The 23,382-nt window shown below is 52.8% G+C and overlaps 1 protein-coding gene across 10 annotated transcripts in view, besides 1 other annotated feature; it reads left to right on the top strand.

The window, feature by feature from the left end:
- TTC28 (tetratricopeptide repeat domain 28) overlaps window positions 1–23,382 on the top strand; it is a 701,827-nt gene that overhangs the window by 652,898 nt on the left and 25,547 nt on the right. For 8 of the 10 annotated variants that reach the window (NM_001393403.1, NM_001145418.2, XM_047441214.1 and 5 more), the window contains one exon: window positions 12,551–12,695. In NM_001393403.1, coding sequence (NP_001380332.1) covers window positions 12,551–12,695 — 145 coding nt within the window. Of the gene's footprint in view, window positions 1–5,853; window positions 5,950–6,224; window positions 6,631–12,550; window positions 12,696–23,382 lie in introns of those variants that run through there. The other 2 variants (XM_011530019.3, XM_011530021.4) reach the window with 2 other exon arrangements.
- Window positions 6,971–7,512: an enhancer, noted in NCBI's record as "H3K4me1 hESC enhancer chr22:28415419-28415960 (GRCh37/hg19 assembly coordinates)". NCBI's record gives its function as "activates a minimal SCP1, AML or CMV promoter by ChIP-STARR-seq in naive H9 embryonic stem cells {active_cell/tissue: H9 hESC(naive)}" and the evidence as "EXISTENCE:reporter gene assay evidence [ECO:0000049][PMID:30033119]".

Genomic DNA, 23,382 nt, shown 5'->3' with positions numbered 1-23,382 from the left:
CATCCAGAGTCATTTAGGGCCAGTATCCCAGAGAAGTTTCCTGACTTCTGTAAGCCACCATTGGCGCAACAAGCATCCTAGGTCTTTAATTTTCCACTTTATATCTGTGTGTGACACAATGTGGAGAGGGACTTTCTTATTGTCCAGAGAGCAGTGACTAGAGCCAAAACAGAGGACAAAGAAGTAAGTCTTCTTTTTCTGAAGAGAGGTGCACAACAGGGCCAGAGCCCACCCTCAGGTCTCTGCAACTTCCCTCTAGTGCCCTGCTAGACAACTTCCCTCTAGTGCCCTGTGAGAGACACTTCTGGTCTCTCACAGAAGACTGGATAAGGAATCAGCAAGAGAGAACCTCAGCTTGGTTGGGGGTCCTTCCAGAGAATCACCAGCAAAAACTGGGGTCCTGCTACATGGGGAAAGAGGCCTCTCCATCCCATGGGCCCAGCCTCCATGACTATAGAACAGGGAGAAAAGAAAGTAGGGAGGATGCTAGGTGGGAGTGGGCCGGCCACAGTGCTCAGCGTGCCCACATTTAACGTGGCACGGGTGTGTGTGTGTGTCCTGCTGGGTGGGTCACATGGGCCCAGCACCTTACTGGTTCCCCACCCAGGAGGCTGTCTGCTGGGCAGGGACCTCAACCGCATGTTATGGAGTGTGCAGCCAGTGGCAGAGTGGAGGGGTTCTGGGAGAGCCAGAGCTGCTGCCACGTTGAGGGGTGCAGAGGAAACCCTGCAGAGCTTTTCCCTGCCCCCTTCCCCCTCTGCCCTCAACACCTGAGGGTCAGGCCCTGAAAGTGGAGAGGCAGTAGTGCTCCCAGAGCCTGCCCTGCCCTCCAAATCCACGCGTGAAAGCCTGGCCTACAGTGGAGGTGGGAGGGAATGCAGTGACTGTAATACACAGGAGGACTTCCTAAAGGTGCGGGGAAGAAAGTGTCAGCAGGACAGTGGAGAGCAGTGACTGGAGAGGAGAGCCATCTCCACAAGGCCAGCCTGGCCGGTAAGCTGAGACCTGGCACACACGTGTCCTGCTGTGTGTGCGTCTGCATGGATGTGTGGTTGTAGTTCTTTTTTTGTTTAGAGACAGAGTCACACTCTGTCACCCAGGCTGGGTTATAGTGGTGCCGTCATAACTAACTGCAGCCTCAAACTCCTGGGCTCAAGTGATCCTCCTGCCTCAGCCTCCTGAGTAACAGGGACCACAGGTGCACACCACCTCACCCAGCTAATTTTTTTAAATTATTTTTTTGTAGCAACAGGGTCTTGCTTTGTGGCCCAGGCTGGCTCAAGTGATCCTCTCATCTTGGCCTCCCAAAATGCTGGGATCCTTGTGAGTCTCCGTACCTGGCCAGGCTGTGGTTTTTTATGAACGTACATGTGGGCCACCCTGCTTTAGGGCTGTACGGAGGCGTGCTGCAGCAGTGCTGCAAAAGCCCAGTGTAGGCCGGCCATCTGCTGATCACTATCTTCCTAGGTCTAGGCCTTTGTCTGTGGTGAGGCACACAGTGCAGAGGAGAAATCTTGGGCTCTGGGGCCAGCCAGACCTTGATTTGAAACCTGGCTCTGCCCTTTGTTAAGGTGACCTTGAGCTTTTTACGTTTGCTTACCGATGGAGTAGTTACTAGGATGCAATAAGGTTAATGATGACGAGATCAATCCTGCTGTGTAGTAAGTAGTTTCTTTCTCTCCCCACCTTGAGTCTGAGGTTTCTACGGCACCAAAGGCTCTTTTCTGAGGGGTGAATCAACCACTCAAAAGATCCAAAAGATCAAATCTCCACCAAGAAACTGATAGATTGATGCTTCTTCCTGCTACAACCTCTCTCAGGGCCACTGGAAACACCTTGAATAAATGCAGAGTGATGACCCAATCTGCCGTCAGCTACAGCTATAGCCCTGGCTTTGAACCCCCAAGATTGCATACCCAGCTTTCTGGCTGGGGTCCTGCATCTCTTTCCCCTGCTCCTTGTTGGTGCCTCTTTGGCTTCTGGCCCCAATAAGGAGCTGAGTGTTCTCTCCATCTCTGACCTCCAGGTCATCTGTGCCACATTAAATGTGGGCATGTAGAGCATGCCATGGCTGCCATCCACCCATACTCACCTCACTGTGACTATTCTGGGCAAGGATCTTCCCTGCCAACAGCTGTTGCAGCTGCTGGTTCCAGTCACCAGGCTTTGGGCAGGAGCCCCTGTCCTGTCCCTGCCTATCTTGATGCCTATCAACAGCCTCAAACGGTTGCTCGTGCTCAGCAAGGTGAATTGCCCCAAGCCAAGTCTGCCCACTTGTCAGTGGCAGAGATGAAATCTGCCCCTCACTGGATGTGACTTTGTCCCTCACACTGATCCCATTACCACCCACCTGGGACAGGCTGATGGTCATCGCTGTCCCCCCTCTGGCTGGGGCGCAGTTTTGTTTGTGTCCCTCTCTTGACAGGAGTCACAGGAGTTCCAGTGGGGTTGGGTGGAAGTGTGGAGCTTGGCATCTGAGTACTTCACAGTCCCACCTTGCCATTCTTCCCATTTCCTGTTCCATTTTCCCCCCACCCTCTGTCCTAACCCAGAGGAACCCCAGACCTGCCCATTCACATCTCAGGGTCTTCACTTGGGCATGGGGACATGGCCAAAGAGGGCTTTCCCCTGAGGCACTGTCTCAAACACAGCATCTTTCACAAATCCATCTTGGATTGCCCCTACTGGAAACATTTCTGCCTTCTCTAAAACTTCCTGGTGCTTTATCTGCGGGTAGGGAGCCACAACCATGCACCTTGCATTTGTCACCTGTGTCCATGCCCTCTCCCCTCCCAGGCTGTGCACTCGCCTGAGGCTCAGTCACTTCTGATTTATCTCTGTATCCCCAAGGAGCCTAGCAGGGTGCTGTGTGTTAAGTAGGTACAGGCACAGAAGGGAGGGAGGGAGGGAGGGAATTAAGTAACTATAACAACAATAACAAAGATGATAATGACAGCAGTGCGCGTCTGCTGATTACTTCCTAGCACTCAGCACTGTGCTAAGTGCTTTACATGTGTTATCTTAGTTAATCCCTGCAGCAACCATGAGGGGTACTATGATGACACCGAGGCTTAGAGAGGTTAAGTTAGTTGCCCAGGGTCTCACAGCTAGAAAATGACAGAGCCAGCATTAGGAGCCAGGTCTGCCAGACTCCAAAGACAGTGCTCCGGCCCCACAGGCCCTCATCCATCTAACTCCCTTGCCAGGTGATCACCCATCTTTTGCCTGAATTCCTCCCATGACAGGGAGCTTACTACCTCCTGAGGCAGCATATTCTGTCTTCAGACAACTCTGACTAATCCAGCTCTGGAAGTTCTCTGTGAACAAGTGAATTCGACCCCACAGGTTTGTTTTCAGGGACAGGCTTGGACCCACAAATTGAAAGTGGAAAGTCCTTTGGAAGGGGGTTTTGCTGTATTGCTGGACATGCATCAGCTGGGCAGGCTGCCATACACCAGGTTGTCTTTTCTTCTCTCCATCCCTGAGCACTTGAGAAGCCCACCCCAATGACTGCCTGGCTCGGGCCTTTGTTCTGATCTCTGAATGGGGTCAGCAGGAAAAGCCTGTGCAAGGCTGGCCTGGGCATCAGGTTCTTTTAAGGTGAGCATCTCCAGGCTTGGCCCTAGAGCCTCATACTTGTTACAGTAAAGAGGAGATGGCCACAGCACAATGCCCAGAGTGGGCAGAGGCCGGGCACCACCAACTGCTGCCGTGGCTCCTGCAGGAGGGCAGGTGCAGACCCTCTTGGTGGAGGCATGTGCCATAACCCTTAGCCCAGGCAGGGAACCTACCATGGACCCAGCATGCCCAGGAGAGTCCAAGAGCAAGGGGAGAGAAGCCACATGCGGCTCCAGATTCATTCCTGGGCTTGAGAGGAGCCAGGCACCACCGTAAGAGCCAGGGTCCCTGCCTGTACCTGCCCAGCCTTGTGGCTCTTCTCTGGAAGAGCAGCCAGGCACATGGCAATTAAGGAGGGGAACAGGTAGAAGCGCCCGCAGCTTATTGCATAAGTACTTAAAATGCAGTGTTCACCAGGTTCACCTCCCAGAGGAGACAACCTTTTGTGTGAGGATGTTCGTGGAGGGAAGTCACTGAATGGTTTCAGAATCCTGTTTTTTAATTGAATTGAGGCATCTCTGGTTACTTAAATATAATGTATTTGCCAATTAATTTTTCCATTGACGTCTTAAAACTCAGGTTCAGATCTCAGGCCAGCTACCTCAGAAGATGCAGCTCAGTTGAGAGCCCCAGAGGGGATTTAGGAGCATCCTGGTTAGGGCTCAGTTGAGGGAGGAAGGAACCAAAGGATTTTCCAGGTAGCTCGATCCCAGCAGAGCAGGAGCTACACTGACAATCTGCCAGGTGCAGTCCTCGCCTGTGAGGCAGGAAGCTGCAGCCCAGAGGGGTTGAGGGGCTCACCTGAGTGAGTGTGAGCAGGTGAGCAAGTGAGGGGCAGAGGCAGGATTCCCCCCAGGGCAGCCTGACCGCAGAGCAGCACAGAGGGCATGGCAGGTGAATATGCGCAATAAAGACATCCTGAGAAGGTGAGGACCATGTGTCTGATCAGAAGAGAAATGACGGGCTGAGAAATGGCAGCCACACCTTGAATGAGCTGCCACCACCGAGGACCCTCCCTGACCCCTGTAGAACTCTGACCTGGGGACAGGGTCTTCACAGATGGCCCCTGGACTGGTGCTCTGTGCAGTGTCTGCCTTTCTGGGATAGAGGGCACAGGCCAGATGAGGCAGATGAGGGTTCAGGGCCTGATGCCATACAGCACCAGGCCTTCGGCTCCCCAGAGAGCAGAGGGCTCCCCCTCAGGCCACAGGCTTTCTGCTGCCTGACTGCATGGAGTGGTGGGGCCTTGCCCCTGATGTTGCTGCCTTAGAGGAGATGTTTAACCTTGCATCTTTGTTTACTCATTAGTCACAGTGAATGGGGCTGAGGGCTGGAAGAGGATGCGAGTGGTGTACTCACATCACAGCCCAGAAGATGGCGGGGGCCCACCTGGCCCTGAGATTCCATGTCCGTACTCTAGAAGATGCCCCATATCAGTTTAGTTCCCTTCTCACCCCTCCCTTCCAGCCATCCTAAAGATGTCATGGCCAGATGTGCCCTGGGGTGAGCATTCCTGGCCCTATATCTAGACAGACCATGAAGGAACCAAGTGCCTGGTGAGGAATTGAGCCCCAGAGGAGCAGGAGGGCGGGACACAGGGAAGAGGCAGAAAGGAAGACACTCCCAGAGGCCTCGTTCTGCCACCTGTGTTCAAGCGTTAAGATCAGACGCACACATGTGAGCACACATGTACACAGCTGCTATCGGGCCTTGCTTGGTCCTCATCAAATTGTGAACTCCACGAGGGCAAGGACCAAATCTCCCTGTTCACTGAATTCCCCCCCTGCAGCTCACCCAGGGCCACCAAGGAGGCACTTAGCCCATGTTGAATGGGTGAATGAGCACCACCTTTCTCTTTGGTGCCGTGAGGAGCAAAGCCTTCCCTCAGGTCGCCCCTTCATGCGTTCCTCAGGTGGTACCCTTCCTAGCTGCCCCTCCCCAGGCAGTCTCACAGCGCTGGCCCCACGGTAGTGGCTGCCTCTGGGTTGATGTGTGTGGAGCAGACAGCCCCAGCCAGCCAGTGAGGTTCTTCGAGATTGCACTAAGCTCTAGCATGCTTGTTCCCTCCTCCCAGCCATCTGGTCAGCCCTACTGCAGAGACAGTAGGGCCAGAATCTCAGGGCTAGGTGGGCCCCCACCATCCTGGTCATCTTCAGGCTTGAGCCAGAGCCCTTTTCTTAGCCTTGGCTGAGGGAGAGTCAAGCCCCTGTTTCTTCATCTGCTGACCCCACGTAGACGCTTCTCTGCCAAGGAGGCAGTGCTGTGTTCTTCACGTGGGAGACCTGATTCCTCAATGCCAGACTGCTGCAGAAATGCTGCCTTGGAAGCCAGGTGAGGGGTGACAGAGCAGAGTGGGTTGAGGTGAGAGCCTGCCTCGCAGAAGGCAGGGCGGGCAGACTCCACAGGGAGGTCTGTCGGGTCCTAGCTGCCTGAAGGAGCTTGTTTGGCCCAAGCAGAGTGGGTGCGTGCATTTCACTCTCCACCTCAGAGTGTGAGAGCCTGAGAAAGCTCTGTGTGTGTGCGTGTGTGTGTGTGTGTGTGTGTGTTGGGGGAGGGGGACTTGCCCAGGCTGCTGTCTGCACCATGAATTAACTTCACTCTTTAAGCTGAGTGTGGATGGGAAGCCAGGGAGCAGCTGCACACAGGCTCATCCTCGCTCGCAGGCACTGCTGCAGCACAGACTGCCCAAAGGAGTGTGAGCAGTGCGCTGGCTTCCTCCTGCCTCAGGAATAGAGCCCTTCATCCTCCCTGAAGGGAAGATTCATGAGCAGCGAGGGAAGATTCACGAGCCCAGCCCAGCTGGCATTTGTCATCATTCCAGAGACATGAGCCACGCCCCTGACCCCTCTGCCCCTTGGCTGCTCTTCGCAGACCCTCTGTGGCCTCACCTCTCTCTGCATGCATGCTGGGCCCTCTCCTTTTCCCGCCACCACACAGACTGTGTGCTTTGGAGAAAATGAAAATGTTCCCGAAGTAGGTTAATAAACATCATCTGAAGAATAAACCAATAAAGACAGAGTGAGGTGAGAAGATCCTCTGCTGAGAGCTAGGCTGTCAGTCCAACTGGGTCCCGGCAGCCATGGGACAGACTGTGAGAAAAGTGAGCCAGTGCCACCTGCTGGAGCCCCGGGGTGGTGCAGCTGTGAAGCCCGGAGCCGCAGCCCCCAGGAGGGGCCACCCACCATCACACCACCTTTAGGGACACAGCGGCTGGGAGGGCACAGCAAAAGCCCCTATCCTGCCAAGTGGGAGGCCTGATGCCCTACCAGCCTGGTGGCTTTGTGCAGGTCTCTTGCTCTCTCTGGTCCTTGGTTCCTCATCTGAAGAGGAGGAGTAACCTCACAGGCCCTGAGCCGGTGAGGCCGCCGTGGCAGGCCTGGCTGTGCCGGCAGAGGGGTGCATGTGTGTTCTACTCTGGGCTGTCTTCATTCCTAAATGGGCAGCATGGCCCCTGCCACGGCTCACGCTCCTGCCATGTGGGAAGCATGTTTCCACCCCTTTCAAAGCTCCCATTCTAGCAAGCGAAAAGCACTGTTCTCTAGAGCCCAGAGAGCTGAGGCAAAGAGAAGTCAGCCAGGGCGAAAGGCCTGTGGAGATCAGAGCAATACTATATACACTCTAAAGTGCTGCCTTGAGGAGCCCCCGGCCCTCTGTGGCCGTTCTTCTACAAAGCAGTGAAGGACTAGATTGTCGTGACAGTGTAGGAAGGTGGACGGCAGAGAGCAGGTCATCCCTCACACTCCAGTGCACACCTGTTAGCCGCTGTGAGCATTCTGCCGCCTGGGGCTCAGAGCCTGGGGTGCCTGCTGCCAGCCAGCTGTGACTCAGAGGCCCAAAACCACGCCACCACAAGGACATGTATCAGTAGTGCCAACTCTCCTGGGCAGATTACACCACCAGAAAGCTGAGCCTGCACCTAACTGTCCCATGCCTGATGCCCACACAGAGGAGACACAGGAAGGGCTGAGGTTCAGCAGAGGGGTTGAGGGCTTGCCTACATAGAGGAGATTTTTCATTTTCTAAAACTAGAAGTTCCAGTTGGATTGATCATCAGTAAAAAAAAAATTTTTTAAAAACCCTAGAAGAGGCCCTACAAGAACTTTAGCCCAACCCTTTATTTTACCAGCAAGGAAAAGAGGGAAGTGACATTCCTTGCCAGAGTCACAGCTCTTTGGTGACATGTCTAGGCAAACTGGTGGTCCACTCCCAGCTGTGAACAGTAAGGCTCAGGGCTAAGGAGCTGACTGCTTTGCTGTTTTGATCTGTTGGGAATATATCTTTATGCAGATCTCTAGGCAGAGGTATCCCAGTAAGACAGTTGCAATTGGTTGCTTTAACTGTTGCAGTGAGAACAGAAACTGCATGTGAAAGGGAGCTCACCCTTACCAGCTTCCAGCAGTCTGCACAAGGCAGCAGCAGCACTAATGATGGTGGAGGCAAGGAAACCTTGGGTCCGCCCATACAACCAGGGAGGGGCTGTATCCTGCCACATCCTGTCCTCTGAGTCCCAGCTTGACACCCTCCCACCATGCGCACCTCTGGCGGAGGGCTCCCAGGGTTCAAGGGACCCTCAGTAGCTCTTGGCCTTGGTTTCCTGCCTGCCATCCCCCTGACCCCTGACTCCCATTCCCTGCCCCTGAGCCTATCAGTCCCAGGGCAGTTCCCCAGTGGGGACCAGCCACATGTGGCTGCTGTCAAGGTGGACCAGGGCCACTAGCATGGAGAAACCAGAGGCAGCTGCTGCGTGAAGAGCTACTAAGGAAGAGGCGTGGGCAGGAAGGCAGCACTGGGCCCAGCAGATGCAGGACTGCGAAGGCTGCTGCTGCGGGGCTGGGCGGCTAGCCACAGATGCCTCCTGCTCAGGGAGAAAGTCTTGATGGATTTACTTTGACCTCAAATCACGGTTGCAGGTTGGTTGGTTTTTTGGTTTGTTGTTTCATAATTACCAACTATTTCTAGGCTTTTGTTTTTATTTTGAAAAGGATCTCTCTAGGGACAGGTTCCCCGCCCCCCCCCCCGCGCGCGCACACACGCGCGCACACACATACACACACACACACACACACACACACACACACACTGAATAGCAGCACAGATCAGAGGAGTATTCTCAAAGGACCGCCTGCCTGAATGCAAGGGGCCCCGTGGCCAGGTCCTGCTGGGCCCACCCAGACTGGGCTGGCTAGGGTCAGTGCCCAGGAACTGTTGCTCCAGAAATAGTTGGTCTGTGAGCTGCCAGGTTGCAAGAAGGGCCAGGGTGGGAGGCTGAGAGCCAGTGCTTGATGTGGCATCTAGGGGGGCAGAGGCCAGCAAGTGCTGATGGGGCACAGGTGGGCTTGGCGGCCTGGAGAGAGCAGGACAAGGTCAAGTTCCAGGCAGGGGGTGCTCAGCTGAGACTCAGAGGCAGAGCCTTCATTGGAGCTTGGGTGCCCTGGCCACCCCATTAATCGCTGGTTCTTGAAGAATCTGCACTGTGTTAGCCCTGGGGATGGGGGGAATGTTCTCAGGGGAGGGGTGTTGACACAGGTGGCCTCCTTATGCTCATCCCCTAGGAAACAACTGGTAGCCTGGGGAGAGGAACTTCTTGATCAGGCAAGCCTGGTTGTTTAAAGAGGTAAGAGGTACTGCTTCTCCCCATAGATAACCCCAGATCCTCTGCCCAGTGCCCAGGCCCATCTGGCCCACTTTCTTCTTCGGCCTGCATCCCCAGCCCTCTGTCCGCATGACTCCTCACACTCACTGCCCCAAGTACCCCAGTCTCTATTTCCCTATGTTGTTCCTCTGTTGGAATGACCTCCTCCACTTTGTCCAGGCAGGGTGCCACCAAGTCATCCCTTGTAGCCCAGATCAAATGGTGCTGTCCCAAAGAGCCTTTCCTCAGCTCAGCCCGACCAGCAGTGGGAGTCAGGGACTTATCCCCGGTGCTGCCCCACCTCCACTGGGACCCAGGACAAAGGCCCATGGCCTGGGTGGCACCCATGGTGCCTGGCACATCACGGGCAGTGACATATGTGGGATGGGTTAGCGCCACCGGGCCCCTTAGATGCCTCTGGCACTCATGGCATTTTCAATAAAAAGATGCCACCGCCGTTAGCACTTGGGCCCTGGAATCCACAGCCTGGTCTCTGCCCTCCTGCCCCAGGCCTGTCTCTAGCTCACGTGCCCAAGCCTTGTCTGGCTTTCCACGTGCTGCAGCCATCCTCTCCAGGCCCCACACTCCCTGCCCCTAGATGACACTGCCCCTGATTGCAGGGCATGAAGCAGTGCCCAAGGCTGGGATTCGAGCTCAGCAGGTCTGCCCACCACTTCTTCCAGACATTTTCCTCTTTTGAATTGCTGGCCGGCATCAGACTCCAGCCTTTCCCTGGCACTTCCTTGTGTAGTTCAGCATTGCCAGTAGGGGTACCCTGCCCAGACCTCCAGGGACTGCCCAACCTGACATCTTGTGCTCCTCAGGGAGGGGTCAGATGGGCCGGGTGTTTGGTTCTGATTTGTTGGAGTAAGTAGCCAAGCTTTGGAGCAGCTGAAGGAACTCCTGGGTCTCCCTGGACAGCTGGGGCTGTCCTGAGAACTCCCTAGAGCTGGGGTCTCTTTCTCTAGTAGGAGCCTTTTTAGTTCAAAGCCGAAGGGCCTTGAGGTTTGTGAAGTGTCCCCATCAGTCATCTTGAGGACCTTGGGCCACAGCACTGTCTGGGGGCATGGCACTCCCCCTGGTCACCCCCAGCTGGACTGATCAGACTGAGGCACCTCAAGTTGGGGGTACATGAGCCCATAGTCCAGGCCATCATCTAGATTGTGAAACTTGAGGTACATAGGAAGAGGGCACCTAGTGCTCCTGCTGCTGCCCATCTGCTGTCTGGATGGCAGCCTAGGCTCTTCGGGGCCATGCTGCCTGTCTGCTGAGAACACGTGTGTGTGGTAACCAACAGTGCCGTGACAGACACCGCGCGTCATGCCAAAGCGTCTCCTCGGGAGAGCAATTTGGTAATCTCTCCTTGAGGGGAGAATTGCTCTTTGCAGTGTATTCTGTGGAATTAAGTGAGCCTCTGAGTGTCACTCCGGGGTTATCTGTGCTTCACTGGCTCTGAATGCAAAGACATGCTGCAGCCCTCGTCACTTGTAATTACACGTTTCCAGAGTGAGTGAGGCCAGGGAGCGGATGTGAGTGGGCTCCCTGGCCCTCCAAGTCCTGCTGCTCTGCTTTTCTCTCACAGGCACCAGGCTGGGGGCTGAGGGTGCTGAGAGCTTGGCTTGGCATGACCCTAGAATTTAGGTCAAGTGGTGCATTGCCAAGATCACTGGGAGGAGTGGGAGAGAGCTAGGGGTAGAAACCTTACCTGGAAAACACATCACTGAATCTTTCAAATAATTTATTTTGATGTCACAGCTCCTGGTCTGGACCAGCAGAGAGGAGCAGCCTTCTGTGCTTTTCTTCGGCAACAATCTAGTTGCTGTCACTGCCAGTAGCCAGAGTACCTACTGAACCTCAGCAGTGTATCTGGTTTACGGCATGGTCTTTGCCCTTAAGAGTCCTAGAGTATGTAGCAGAAACTCTTAAACTATGAACAGTGTCTAAATCGAGGTTAAGAGATCACTGATGGTGGGGTGTGGTGTCTCACGTCTGTAATCCCAACACTTTAGGAGGCCAAGGTGGGAGGATTGCTTGAGCCCAGGAGTTCAAGACCAGCCTGGGTAACACAGTGAGACCCCATCTCTACAAAAAAAAATTTACAAATTAGCTAGGTGTTGTGGTACATAACTGTGGACCCAACTCCTCAGGAGGCTGAGGCAGGAGGAGCACTTGGGCCCAGGAGGTTGAGGCTGCAGTGAGCTATGTTTGCACCACTGCACTCCAGCCTGGGTCACAGAGCAACAATTTGTCTTTTTTTTTTTTTTTTTTTTTTTAAAGCTATCTCCTACAGGAAGGATGATACCTTGTCTGTTTAAAAAAAAAATCACTGTCTGTCCAGTAATCAGGCACAGAATGTCACTGATGGCTGTGCTGCGGCCACAGTGGCCAGGCCACAGGGCAGGTGCTGAGAGGATGCACGTGGGCAGCCTTGTTGCTGCATTGGAAATGGACTCATTTCCCCTTCCTGTATCTCTTCTGCTCACTTGTGCATTTTGTCCTCTGTAGGTTCCCAGAGACTATACCAGTGCCTGGCAGACAGCCAGTGCTTGGGGAAAATTTTCCAAATGAATGAGTGAATGAATGAATCAGTGAATGCTCTCATCCCATGTTGGAAGTATGAAGCTTGGGGTCCTTGGGGTTGAAAATGCTTCTGTATTAATAAAACTATGCCTGGAAACATTGGAACAGAAATTTAAAAGCGAAACAAAACTATACAGCCATACTCAAACCGACCCACTCTGCAGCTGCTGCCTGGTCATAGCATCTTCCCAATGAGGCCATGGGGCCAGGGGTTTCTACTGCCTTGCCACAGAGCCCGTGCTGGGGCTCAGGTGGGTGCTCAGCAGTTGCTCTGAGCCCAAGGTGGGGGCCAACATGCTCTTTGTCCTGTTTGCAGCCCCCTTGGTACCTTAATTGGCATTGGGGCACTGTCCTCATCAGCTTGGTGGCTGTCGCTGATTCCTAATGGTCCTCACGTTTGCCTGCACACAATTGCTCCACACAGGATGTAATTAAATCCTTTGAACAGCACTTAGGGACATTTGATTATGTAGAAAAACTCCATAGAAATGTAAGCTGTTGTGTGCAGCTGGTTTACCCTGCGGTTTCTGACAGTGCTCACTGTAGTGTGAAAATTACCTGAAAGGGAAGAGAAGGGAACGGAGCTGGGAGGGAGGCTGGCGGGGTTGCTGCTGTGAAGCCTCAGCCTGCCTTCCATACAGGGGCATGGCTTGGAGGGCCAGGGTGAGTCTTTGCCTGTCTGAGTGGCCCTGATTGATCCCTCGGCCCTTCCCTCCCCAGGAGCTGCCAGAGCATGACGAGCCTGTTCAGTAACACTGTGTCACCGACCCAGGACGGGACCTCCTCTCTTCCCAGGAGGCAGAGCTCGTTTGCCAAGCCCCCGCTCCGTGCCCTGTATGACCTGCTCATCGCGCCCATGGAAGGGGTAAGCACCTCCTGGGGGCACAAGGCTCCTCCGCATCAGAACACATCGCTTACCAGTCAGCGCCCACATGTATCCCTCTTAGACACCAAAATGGGCTCCCGAGACAACCGGAGGCTTTCCAGAACACAAGTCCGCTCTGTCCAGCTTCTCAGTGAGCATTTGAAAAATAAGGTGGAGCACAGACTTGGTTGGTTGGTTGGTAGTGGATGAGGCCTTGAGCTTTAAGTTGCAAATCTGGGTTCAAGCCCTAGCTCTGCTCCCTACAAGCCGGGTACATTCAGCCTCAGTGACCTCATGTACAAAATGAAATGATGCTCCCTTCCCAGCCTGCCCAACAGAGTGATGGTGCGGCTCAGGGAGGCGCAGGTGCACCTCTAAGCAGTTGTCAGTAGGGGCCGTGCATCAGTGTGAGGACGAGGCTGCCCTTTCCCACCTAGCAGATGCCTCGGGGATGTGGCCGTGGATGTGCCCTTTCCCACCTAGCAGACGCCTCGGGGATGTGGCCGTGGCTGTGCCCTTCCCAGAGGGCTTCTTTGCACCTTGCGCCCACACCCTACTGGGAATGAATGCTTCCCCACCTCCCCACCTCTCATCCTAGAATCTTGTCTGAGCAACTTCGAGCCAGGGCTATGCTTTCTGGTGAGATGGAGTCTCAGAGAATCAATTCCCACCTCCCTCTTGCCCTCAGCCTCAGATATTGTTGGGAATCACTGACTCCACCATAGAGTCTAACGTTAAAGACACCCTTGCATAATCTGCCACAGACAGGTTTTCTGTGGTGTGTATTCACCTGCCCTGGTCTTTGCACATCACTTTTTAATTCAAACACAGCCCTCTGACTGAGCAGAGAGTGCTGGAGGGCTCAGGATCTTCGCAAATCCCAACGGTGAGCCCATCAGATGCCTTTGCGTAGACTGTTAGGAAAGCCCAGGGAGCCTGCAGCAGGCGAGCAGGCTGCTGTTAGCCAGGCTGCATGGCCCCTTCTTCCCAGCAGTCTGCAGCCAGGTGGGAGATTTGTCTCACAGCTGTTGGAGTGGCCTTCAGCAGCTCTCTCTTCTGCTCCAGCCAAATGACGGAGGAGAAATGTATCCCCGGGAAACCACATCTGCACAATGATTTCTTTGTCCCCAGAAAATGCCTATACCTTCCCTGCCTGGCCTTCCAAGGATGTGTCTTGCCTAATATTTGTCAGGAGGCTGCGCTACCTGCCAGTGCCCTCTGGATGTTCTCTGGCTTGGGGACAGGGTGTGGTGGAAAGCACAGAGCCTTTGGGAACCAGCAGAGCTGGATTTGCATCTGGCACTGCCCTTTTCTGGCTGGGTGACAATGGCAAAGCTGCTTCCCCTCCTGGAGTATCTGTTTCCTCATTAGAAAATGAGGATGATAACACCCAATGCAACAGGTTAGAGCAGGTTAGACAAATGTGTAAAGCACCTGGCCAAGCACAGTGGCTCTTGACTGTAATCCCAGCACTTTGGGAGGCCGAGCCGGGCAGATCACTTGAGCCCAGGAGTTCGAGACTAGCCTGGGCAACATAGTGAGACCTCGTCTCTACAAAAAATACAAAAATTAGCCAGGCATGATGGTGCACAACTGTAGTCCCAGCTACTCGGGAGGCTGAGGTAGGAGGATCGCTTAAGCCTGGGAGATCGAGGTTGCAATGAGCCATGATCGTACCACTGCACTCCAGCCTAGGTGACAGAACTGAACCATATCTCAAAAAAAACATACAGGTGCATAAAGCCCCTGAGGCAGCAGCAGCAGTGAATGTGTGCCTGGCGAGCAGTGGCTTCTTGTGCCCAGATACCTCTTCCGAGTGCCGGGTCACTGCCACTGTCCCTCCAAGCCTTCCCTGTGCTCCTGGGCCTCCCGGATCCGATCACATCCTTGCATGCACATTCTTGCAGTCCTTGCACGTGCTCGGTTGTCCTTCCCTTCTTAGGATTATGACCCTCTCCTGCGTCCTCCTTTTAATGAGATGACCAAAACTGCAGAGAATTCTCCAGCTTAAAGCTTCTGAGATACCATCATCACTTACCCTGATTTATGTGCCATACCTTGGAGGAAGAAATATAAACCTAGCTCCTTTGCTTTTCCAAGTTTTCTTTACTGCTACTGACTGTCATGCAAACCATTTCAGTGACTTACTACCAGCCTTCCCTCCTGCTCGCCCTGAGGCCTGCATTTCCCAGGGATCCCCGCTCCTCTGAAGGTTATTTGGACTCTCCATTCTTTACCCACTTGGGCCTTCTGAGGCCTTTGCCTGTCTCCCTTTGCATTTCTCCTTTTGCATTCAGGTCCCCAGATTACTTGTTCCATTAATGTTGCATTGGTGTTTGGGGACCGGGAGGGGAGCAGAGGGCAAAGATGGAGACTGGCTGTGACTGCCGCTTCTGCCCCCATGAGGCTCAGGTCATCTGGCGCTGGCAGGCTCCTCTCATCTCTCTGGCCCAGCTGAGGTGTCACCTCCTCTTTGAAACCTTCCTTGCCTCTTCTCCTTACCTTCCTGGATCCCTTCATTCCCCTCCCCACCACTGGGCCCCTTGCATACCTGGATGTTTTTTATGGTACCTGAGACAATCAGCCCTCCATATCCATGGGTTCCTCATCTATGGATTCAACCATGGATTGAAAAAATACATATATATTTTTAAGACAGAGTCTTGCTCTGTCCCCAGGCTTGAATGCAGTGGCAGTGATCATAGCTCACTGCAGCCTCGACCTCCCAGGCTCAAGCACTCCCCTGACCTCAGCCTCCTGAATAGCTGGGACTACAGGTGTGCACCACCACACCCAGCTAATTTTTATATTTTTTGTAGGGACAGGGTTTCACCATGTTGCCCAGGCTAGTTTCAAACTCCTGGGCTCAGGCAATCCATCTGCTTTGGCTTCCCAAAGTGTTGGCATTACGGGCGTGAACCACCATGCCCAGCGAAAATATATATTTTTTAATTCCCCGAAGTTATGAAAAGCCAAACTTGAATTTGCTACATGCTGACTACTACACTGAGTCCATGTGAATGAAGTGACATGTAGGCCTTCTGTTAGGTAATCTAGATTATAAATAATCTACAGATGATTTAAAGTATACAGGAGGTTGTATGAAGGTTAATGGAAACACCATGTCATTTTATACCAAGGACTTAAGCATCTGAGGATTTTGGTATCTGAGGGGTGTCCTGGAATAATCCCCCAGGGATACAGAGAGGCAGCTGTGCCTGATTGGACTCAGGACTTAGCTCTGTGCTTGCTGCCCACTCTACAGTCCCTGAAGGCAAGGACTGCCCCTCATCTCTGTGTCCCCAGCAGCTGTTACAAGGCCTGGTACACGTTGGCGGTCAGTAAAGTTTCTGGAATGGTATGGGGTCCAAAGCAGCATTGCATTTTGGGTCTAGTTTGGCACAGAAAGCAGAAGAGCCAACTTAGAAATCAGCCAATAGGCTTTTCATGGCCGCTCTTGGGTTGAACCTGGGGGCTCTCCCAAGAGGATGAAGCAGAAGGAAGGGGCTGGGCCTGTTCCCGAGGAGCTTTGAATCTAGTGAGCCCCCTGCCTCTGCCAGCCAGCACAGTGATTTCAGGGTGGGGGCATGCTCCAGTCGACATGCCTGCAGGCCCCACCCCTGAGCATGGTTTCACTGGCCGAGGTGTCCACGCTGAGCCAGTTGAAGGCAGTGACTATTGTGGCGGCTCTGTACTTGAGGCAGAAATCGGCTTGGTGGAGGCCAGGAAGAGGTGGAGGGCAGGAGGTGGCCCTGCCTTGACCCATCCCAGTGCTTCCCCAGCGCCACAGGTCATCCTGGAAAGGGATCCTCTGAATGTATAAAAGTTGTGCCATGTGTTTTAGAGTTTTTCTCCCTGCAGACTTTCCCGTGACTTAAAGAATATGCTATCAGGATTAGTGGTAGCTGGCTTCAGGACAACCTAGTTTTCCTGTAGGGGTGCTAGGAAGGGGGAAGGTTATGGACTTAAGCCTCAAGCAAGTTAGAACAATGATCAGAATAATGCCTTTATACACTGGGAAAAGCAAAAAGCACTGTCACCAGCATTTCAAAAAATGACATGCTGCTAGCAGCACCCTGTGCTTCTGCTGCCCTTCAGAGCTGGTTGTGTGGAGAATGTGAAGGGGCCCCTGAACCCGCCCACAGGCTGCAGTCCTATCTTGAGGTGAGGCATGCAGTTGGAAAGCACATCCTTAGTTCCTGATATCTACAAATACAATCTTTTGTGAGTCAGGTATTTGAACACAGGGGAAGGAGTTTGGCTGCTTTAAATGAGACAGAGTGAAACCTTTTTAAAGGTATTAAAGTAAATCATCAGAGCAAGCACTGTTCCTTGGCTAACTAAAATGATCCATTGTGTATCAGTAAAAACACTTAACTGAAAAGTTGGAGTCTAATTAGGAGTCCTCTCCATCCCCAGTTTTATCCATTCATTCAACAGATATTTACTGACTTGTGCCAGGCACACACTGTCCTAAACCTGGGGAAGACAGGTGAAAATCTGGGCCAGGGGCCTGTGTTCTCATGTCTGGTCACTCACAGACTGCTAATGGTGGTGATGGAGGCCAGCACCCGAGGCCGGTGGGCCATGCCGAATTGTGGCAGGTCAGCCTCAGTGACCCCGTCATCTCGGGAGGGTTTGGCACCCGTCACCTGCGCTGCCCAGGTGGAGGGGAAGGCCTGGATCATTCTCCTGCTTCTGGCTGCAAGCACCCACGCACTGCTCCAGAGGCCACAAGAGGGCGATATAACACCGCTAGCCGGCTCCAGAGCTGCCGCTGTCAGCTGCCAAGCCAGACCCTTCTCCACATTTTCAGTGAGAATGCACATCAAAGCCAAAAGTCCAAGACTGTGAATCACTGACACTTCAAGACTAAAACGATTAGCCTCTTCACATGGGGCATATAATTATTTGAACAACTGCCTTTGTTTAGCCGCAGTCCTATTGCTAAGGGACTAGGTCAGACAGTATGAAAAGTGGAACAGAATAATATTTTACCATAGGCCTTACACCAGTATGTGATTTAATTTGGCCTAAGGGAAACACTGTCGTGGCTCTTTCCTGGAACCACGCTGTCCTTTGCTGTCAGGATGGGGTGAGCATGTCCGCTTATCTTTGAGGAGGGCCCGGTTGCATTTGCACATGAGCCATCATCAAACATTAAGTCAGATCCTGTGTAGTCCCCAAAGGAGAAAATGTCACTAAAGAAAAGTTGCAAGTGTTTAGCATGAAAGGGACTACTGGGACCTGTTTGTGTCTGTGGTATTAGTTTTTAATCAAATTAGAGTGAAGGATAGTAACCCATGTCTCTGACCTGGACTTCCCTGCTTCTTGCCCTGGACTGATCTGGGCCAGTCCTGTCCCCACCACCCCAAGGCACAAGGCTGCCTCCGAGTTCTCTCCAGCGTCCCTCCCTCAGCAGCAAACTTGTGGCAGGGCTCTGCAGGGCTGCTGTAGGCAAAGCCACTCGTCCACTCAGATCCCAAATCACCCCTCAGTTTTCAGTTGGGCCCTTCGTCCAGAGCCAGCAGCTGCTATAATCAAGGAACCAGATTTAAGGAATACCTTACGTTTGGTCAAGTTACTCTTCAAAGGTCCAGATTTGGGGATCTTTCAGGATCCTTGGAGTTTAGACTTGCTCTAGTTATAGAGTCTCTGTTATCCTTACTTTTATTTCCCTTTATTTAAATTCCCTGTTTCCTGTATTTAAATTTAAAAACCAAGGTTCTAGGACAGGTAGCAAGAGCAAATGACTTTGATCAGAAAGAAAAGTACATCTCATTCACCTCAGCTTGTGATTCATGAAGTGTGGAGTCACCTGTTTAAAATCCTAGAAACTTATTCAAAACTTGTTTATGTCTGTTAGGCTGTTGAACTGCTTTCCAAGCACTGGAGCTCAGGGATTTCACCTAAGACTTCTCATCTAAGAGTGAAAGCAGGGGTCTAGCTCTGCCGAGGGCTCGGCCATGAGAGTGGCTTGGCCTTGGTTGGGTCATGACTGTAATCACTGCCCTGGGGGAAAGGACTCCCTTGTGTTTTGTAAAATACCCCTTGCAAAATCAGGTAGCAGGATAAGTCGGCCTCTCCTAGAACAGATGCAACAGGAATGAGACTGACCACGTGGCTGCCTGTTTTCTAAATAGATTGGGAGGCTTGGGTATAGCCAGGGAATTTTTGTCCTTAGAAACAATCAGACCTAGATTCCAGTATGAGGTAGAGGATGAGGCCTGTGAGACTGGCAGCCCCACCACCAGGCTGTCTAATTGATTTCTGATTGAGACATCTGTAGTGATATTCAAATGAGGACAGACATCACCCAAGGACAACAAGCATTTTCACAACTGATTAGGAGGAGGAAAAATGGAGGCAATTACTTGCAAACTGTCTGTATGACTAAAACCAGTGGTGGCAGCACCCAGGATAACCAGCAAGATCTCACGTGGTAAGTGGCATTCTCACCTGGATGGCTGCTGTTACATGAGTGTCATCTGCGTGCTGGCTCTATTCTAGCTGGTGTTCAACAAGCAGACATCTTAGCCTTACCCTGGCAGGTTCCAGGCAGGTCAGGGTCTTCTGCCACTAGGGGTGGAGGGATCATTTTTACCAGGTCAGCCAAGATAGAGAGAGAGGCTCCCCTCCGCCCCTCCAACCCTGCCCACTGCACAGAGGCTCCTGCAGCTTGAACAGTCCCTTCAAGCTGATTTGGCTGAAGTTGGACCCTGGGTTTCAGGCAGGCCCTTCTGGCTCTTGCTGGCCATTGGTCACGTTTCTCCAATACCTTCTTAGGTACTTCAGGCAAACCAGTGGGCGGTTGTTTGGCCAAAGCATACAGTTGAATGGGTTGAATGTTCGCTTTTCCATTTCTGGCTGAAATACAGTATCTACAGTCTTGGTGGGCTTCAGTTATGGTTGAGGGTGATTTCCAGGAGGTGTGTGATCTTTGCCAAAACTGTATGTATCCACCCATCATGACAGGATTTCCCAGCAGCATCACAGAAAGGGTTCCTCTACCTTAAACAGTTCTGTTTGATAAATTTATTCCATCAAAAATATCAGTCAGGAAAAAATGTGAAGCCCTATACACAGTTCTGGGGTATCTGGATACCCTGAAGCCCTTTGCCTCTGGAATCCTTATTGTAGACAGTAAAGTCCATTTCATCCCAAGTCTAATCAGTCTGAAAGCTCATGGACCCAGGCATTTTCTTTCCCTCCCCCATGGTGATCAGAGATTTTCATTCCTCTGGCCTGTGATACTGTGAATCCCTGAGAGGCCTGCCGTGTCTGCCAGTAAAAAGGAAACTCCCCGGTGCCCCGCGGAGGTCACCTGCAGATCCTCTAACCTTGGCGATACGCAAGGAGCGCATCTTTCTTAAACTCCAGATTAGGACATGATCAACATAACATTTGCTATGAGTGCTTTCTGAAGAGCTCGACCTGTACTCAACCAGGGCATATGCAGAAGGTCCCGCTGACCGAAACGGCAATCCAATCAGAATTCACCACCCAAAGACACATTCGGGATCCATTGGGGGTTGCCTGGGAGAACTCTGGGCTTGGAAACTGGACTTCAGGGTAACTGCTTGGTGGTGGCTCAGTAAGTAGGTGTGGAGGATAGCGATGGTGACGTGAAGATGAGGTGAGGGGGATGTGACGACCTCTGTCTCTCATAGTCTCTGGGTTAAAATTCGGAGCTGGATGTTCCAGAGAAGCCATTTGTCTCTTTTAGCCACATGAATGTTTGTAAACGCCAGAGAGAAAGGGAATGAGTAATACTGGAAAAATGATTATGGGCCAGGAGAAAAGAATAGTATAAATAATAGGGGCAGTATCACTTTATTCCAAGCACTGAAGACAGTTGTAAATTCGCATTTGACCAATATGTCTGGAGTGCACACCAGTGCCAGGCATGGGGCTAGATGCTTTACCCACTGTGCAGCTACCTTGGCCTCATAGGCCTGTGAGGAATGGATGTTAGCGCTGTCCTGTGGGTTTGGAAACCAAGGTGCAGAGAGGTTAGTGTCTTGTTGGAGTGTGCAGAGCTCCTACCCCCAACCCTACTGGTTTTTCACCCCTCGCCTCCCATCTAGCAATTCCAGATGCTGGGAGCACCCTGACTTGGCAGGCTGACCCAGACTCCGTGACAGGGCCTCCCCTCAGACCCCCTATTCTTTCCCCAGCATGCAGCATCCCTTCCTGGGCCACTGCACACGGCTTTTCATCCTCTGGGTCCATCTGGAGACAGAAACCACACCGTAGACTAACCACGGATGTTTAGTATTGAGAACTATTACCCATGATAGGCAAATAACTGTAAGATATAGGGAAGCTGTGTGGTTCTCTAGGGCTGAGGGAGTGTACCTAGTAAAGAATGAACATGGGAGGAGGTGTGATTCAGCCCACAGGACACAGAGATATGTCCACTGTTTGGCCAGGCCAGAGCCAGTCTGGAGTTGCTGGCAAGCGCTAGCCCCCTGAGTGTGGGCAGGAGAGCAGCCATCAGCTTCCAGCGGTGATAGGTGCCAGGGAGTCCAGGGACCTGCAGAGGCAGGAGGCCTTGGGAGTGAGGGAAGATTATCACCAGGCCGAGACTGCAAGGTGGCAACGGGACAGCGCTCTGGGCCCGTGGCTGGGCAGGCCCCTCTGGATGTCCTCACCCACCACTGACCCAGGCCAGCAGGAGGGCTCCTGCCTCCTCAGTGCCCCTTAGTGCACTCCACTGACACAGCTCAGCACCCTGCATATCGTGGGAGAAACAGCCAAAGGAATGCAGCCTATCTTGGAGCGGATAGTGACAAGGGCTTCAGGACCTGAGAGGCAGTAAACTGACAACAGCTGCACAAAGCCACCTCCAGTGCACTCACTGCCCACCCTGTCAGAAGGAACAACCCTCTCCTTGTACAAAGACTGCACCTTCACGGAACCCCTGTCATCACCGTGCCCCAGGGCAGCCCCACAGTGCTGTGCATGGTGGCCTGCCTGCCCAGCACTGTGTCTTTCCCCTTTTCCCTCACCTGGCCTGGAACACCGTAAGTTCTCAAGCATCATTTGCTGCCTGGACTCACATTGCCACAGTCAGGGTCACAGCCCCTTGGTGAGAGCGCAGGGCGGCACCCCTGGGGAAGAGACAGATTCTAGTGCACCTGGCCCTGTCATCTTCTGCTTTCAGAAATCCCATTACTAGAAACTGCAGAGGTCAGAACATCTGAGTCTTTGATGGAATCTGTTGGAGACTCTGGTAGTTGCTGCTGTAAGGCTGGTGCGTGAGCCACTTTATTGTTCAACCCTAAGCCTTAAGAGGCCAGCAGACACCCTTTCTGAGGCTGACAGGCCCAGGTGCTGAATAGTGTTTCCTTGAATGTCTCTCCTTTGTAGTCTGACTGATGATATGTAAGCTGAATAGAGATATCGCTTGCTTTCCCCTTTTCAAGTTCACGTTGGATTATAACTAATCTTTCAGTGCAAGGACAGCACACATACACCAGAGTCAGAGCTGACAAGTTTCCTGGGCATTATCTCTAACATGTCCAATCAGTTTCCCCCTTTGAACGGCAGCTGTCAGCCTGCTGTTCTACCCGTCTCCCCACAAGCCCACACATTTCAGAGAACAGCTGCGACTGTCACCTGCCTCATTTCACAGAGTTTGGACAGGGGTCCCATTTGGGGACCTTCACCCAGGGTTGTATGCATGAGCCAAGCTTGGTACCAGCTCCTAGGCATGATGCAGGGAGGACCCAGACCTCCAAATTGGGATATGAGGTTCAGAGAACAGCCTCCCTATCTCCCAGCCTGGACTTCAGACTTCTCCTCACCTGCTAAGGTCACTCTCACTGAGTCCCAGCAAGTCTCCTTGTCTCTTCTCTTGGTGGGCATGCCCTGGTCTGAATTACTCTTGGGTACAGCCCCCTCTCCCGCAGGCAGGCAGGCTGCCTCTCAATGCTTTGCAGGGCTCAGCTTGAGAAGGCATGGCGGGTCCTGACAGCCAACAAGAACCACACTTTCTTGCCTGATCTTCAGCGCCCCCACAGTCTGGCTCCCATGTCCCTCTTTAGCCTTGTGCTCACCTGGCAACAGCATCTGCCCAGGCCTTCCCCAACCCTCACGGACCCTCCTGGGTGGGCCCAGCGTCAGCCTGGGTAGGCTTTCCCCGTTCTGGGGCTGCCATGCTGCCATGAAGGTGTTACATTTGACAATACTGAGTTTCACTCAGCAATGGCCTCTTGTGTGCATTTTAGTTTTCTAAGTACATCATCATAAGTCTGCAAGCAAGGACCATATCCTAAATTTATCTGACTTCCCTACGGTCCCCAGTAGGCACATGACGGACACCACTCAGTGGCTGATGGGAAAGTCGAGGCCCAGCTTGGGAGACTTCTGACAATAGGGCCACAGGAGATGCCCCCCACCCCTGGTGGAGTGTTGGAGCAGACAGACAAGCTGCCTTCAAGGACATGCATTCTCTGATCATTAGGCTTGTGCCGCAGATGAGGTTTCGTGGGCAGAGTTAGCAGAGTTCTACGAAGATGGGCTGCCAGTGAATGTTTGCTCTGCGTGGATTCCAGCCTCACTTCTCCATTTTTCAGCTTGCCAAGCTTCCCTCCGGTTCACACAGTTAGGTGCTGTCATGACCAGGGACTTGTCTATGAGTGGCGTGTGTCCTGGTGAAGGCAGTAGCCTGTGGGATGATATC

This window comes from Homo sapiens, chromosome 22, assembly GCF_000001405.40.
Source record: "Homo sapiens chromosome 22, GRCh38.p14 Primary Assembly".
Classification (NCBI taxonomy): domain Eukaryota; kingdom Metazoa; phylum Chordata; class Mammalia; order Primates; family Hominidae; genus Homo; species Homo sapiens.
The sequence above is the reverse complement of the archived record's forward strand: the minus strand, read 5'-3'. Positions and strand labels throughout refer to the sequence as shown.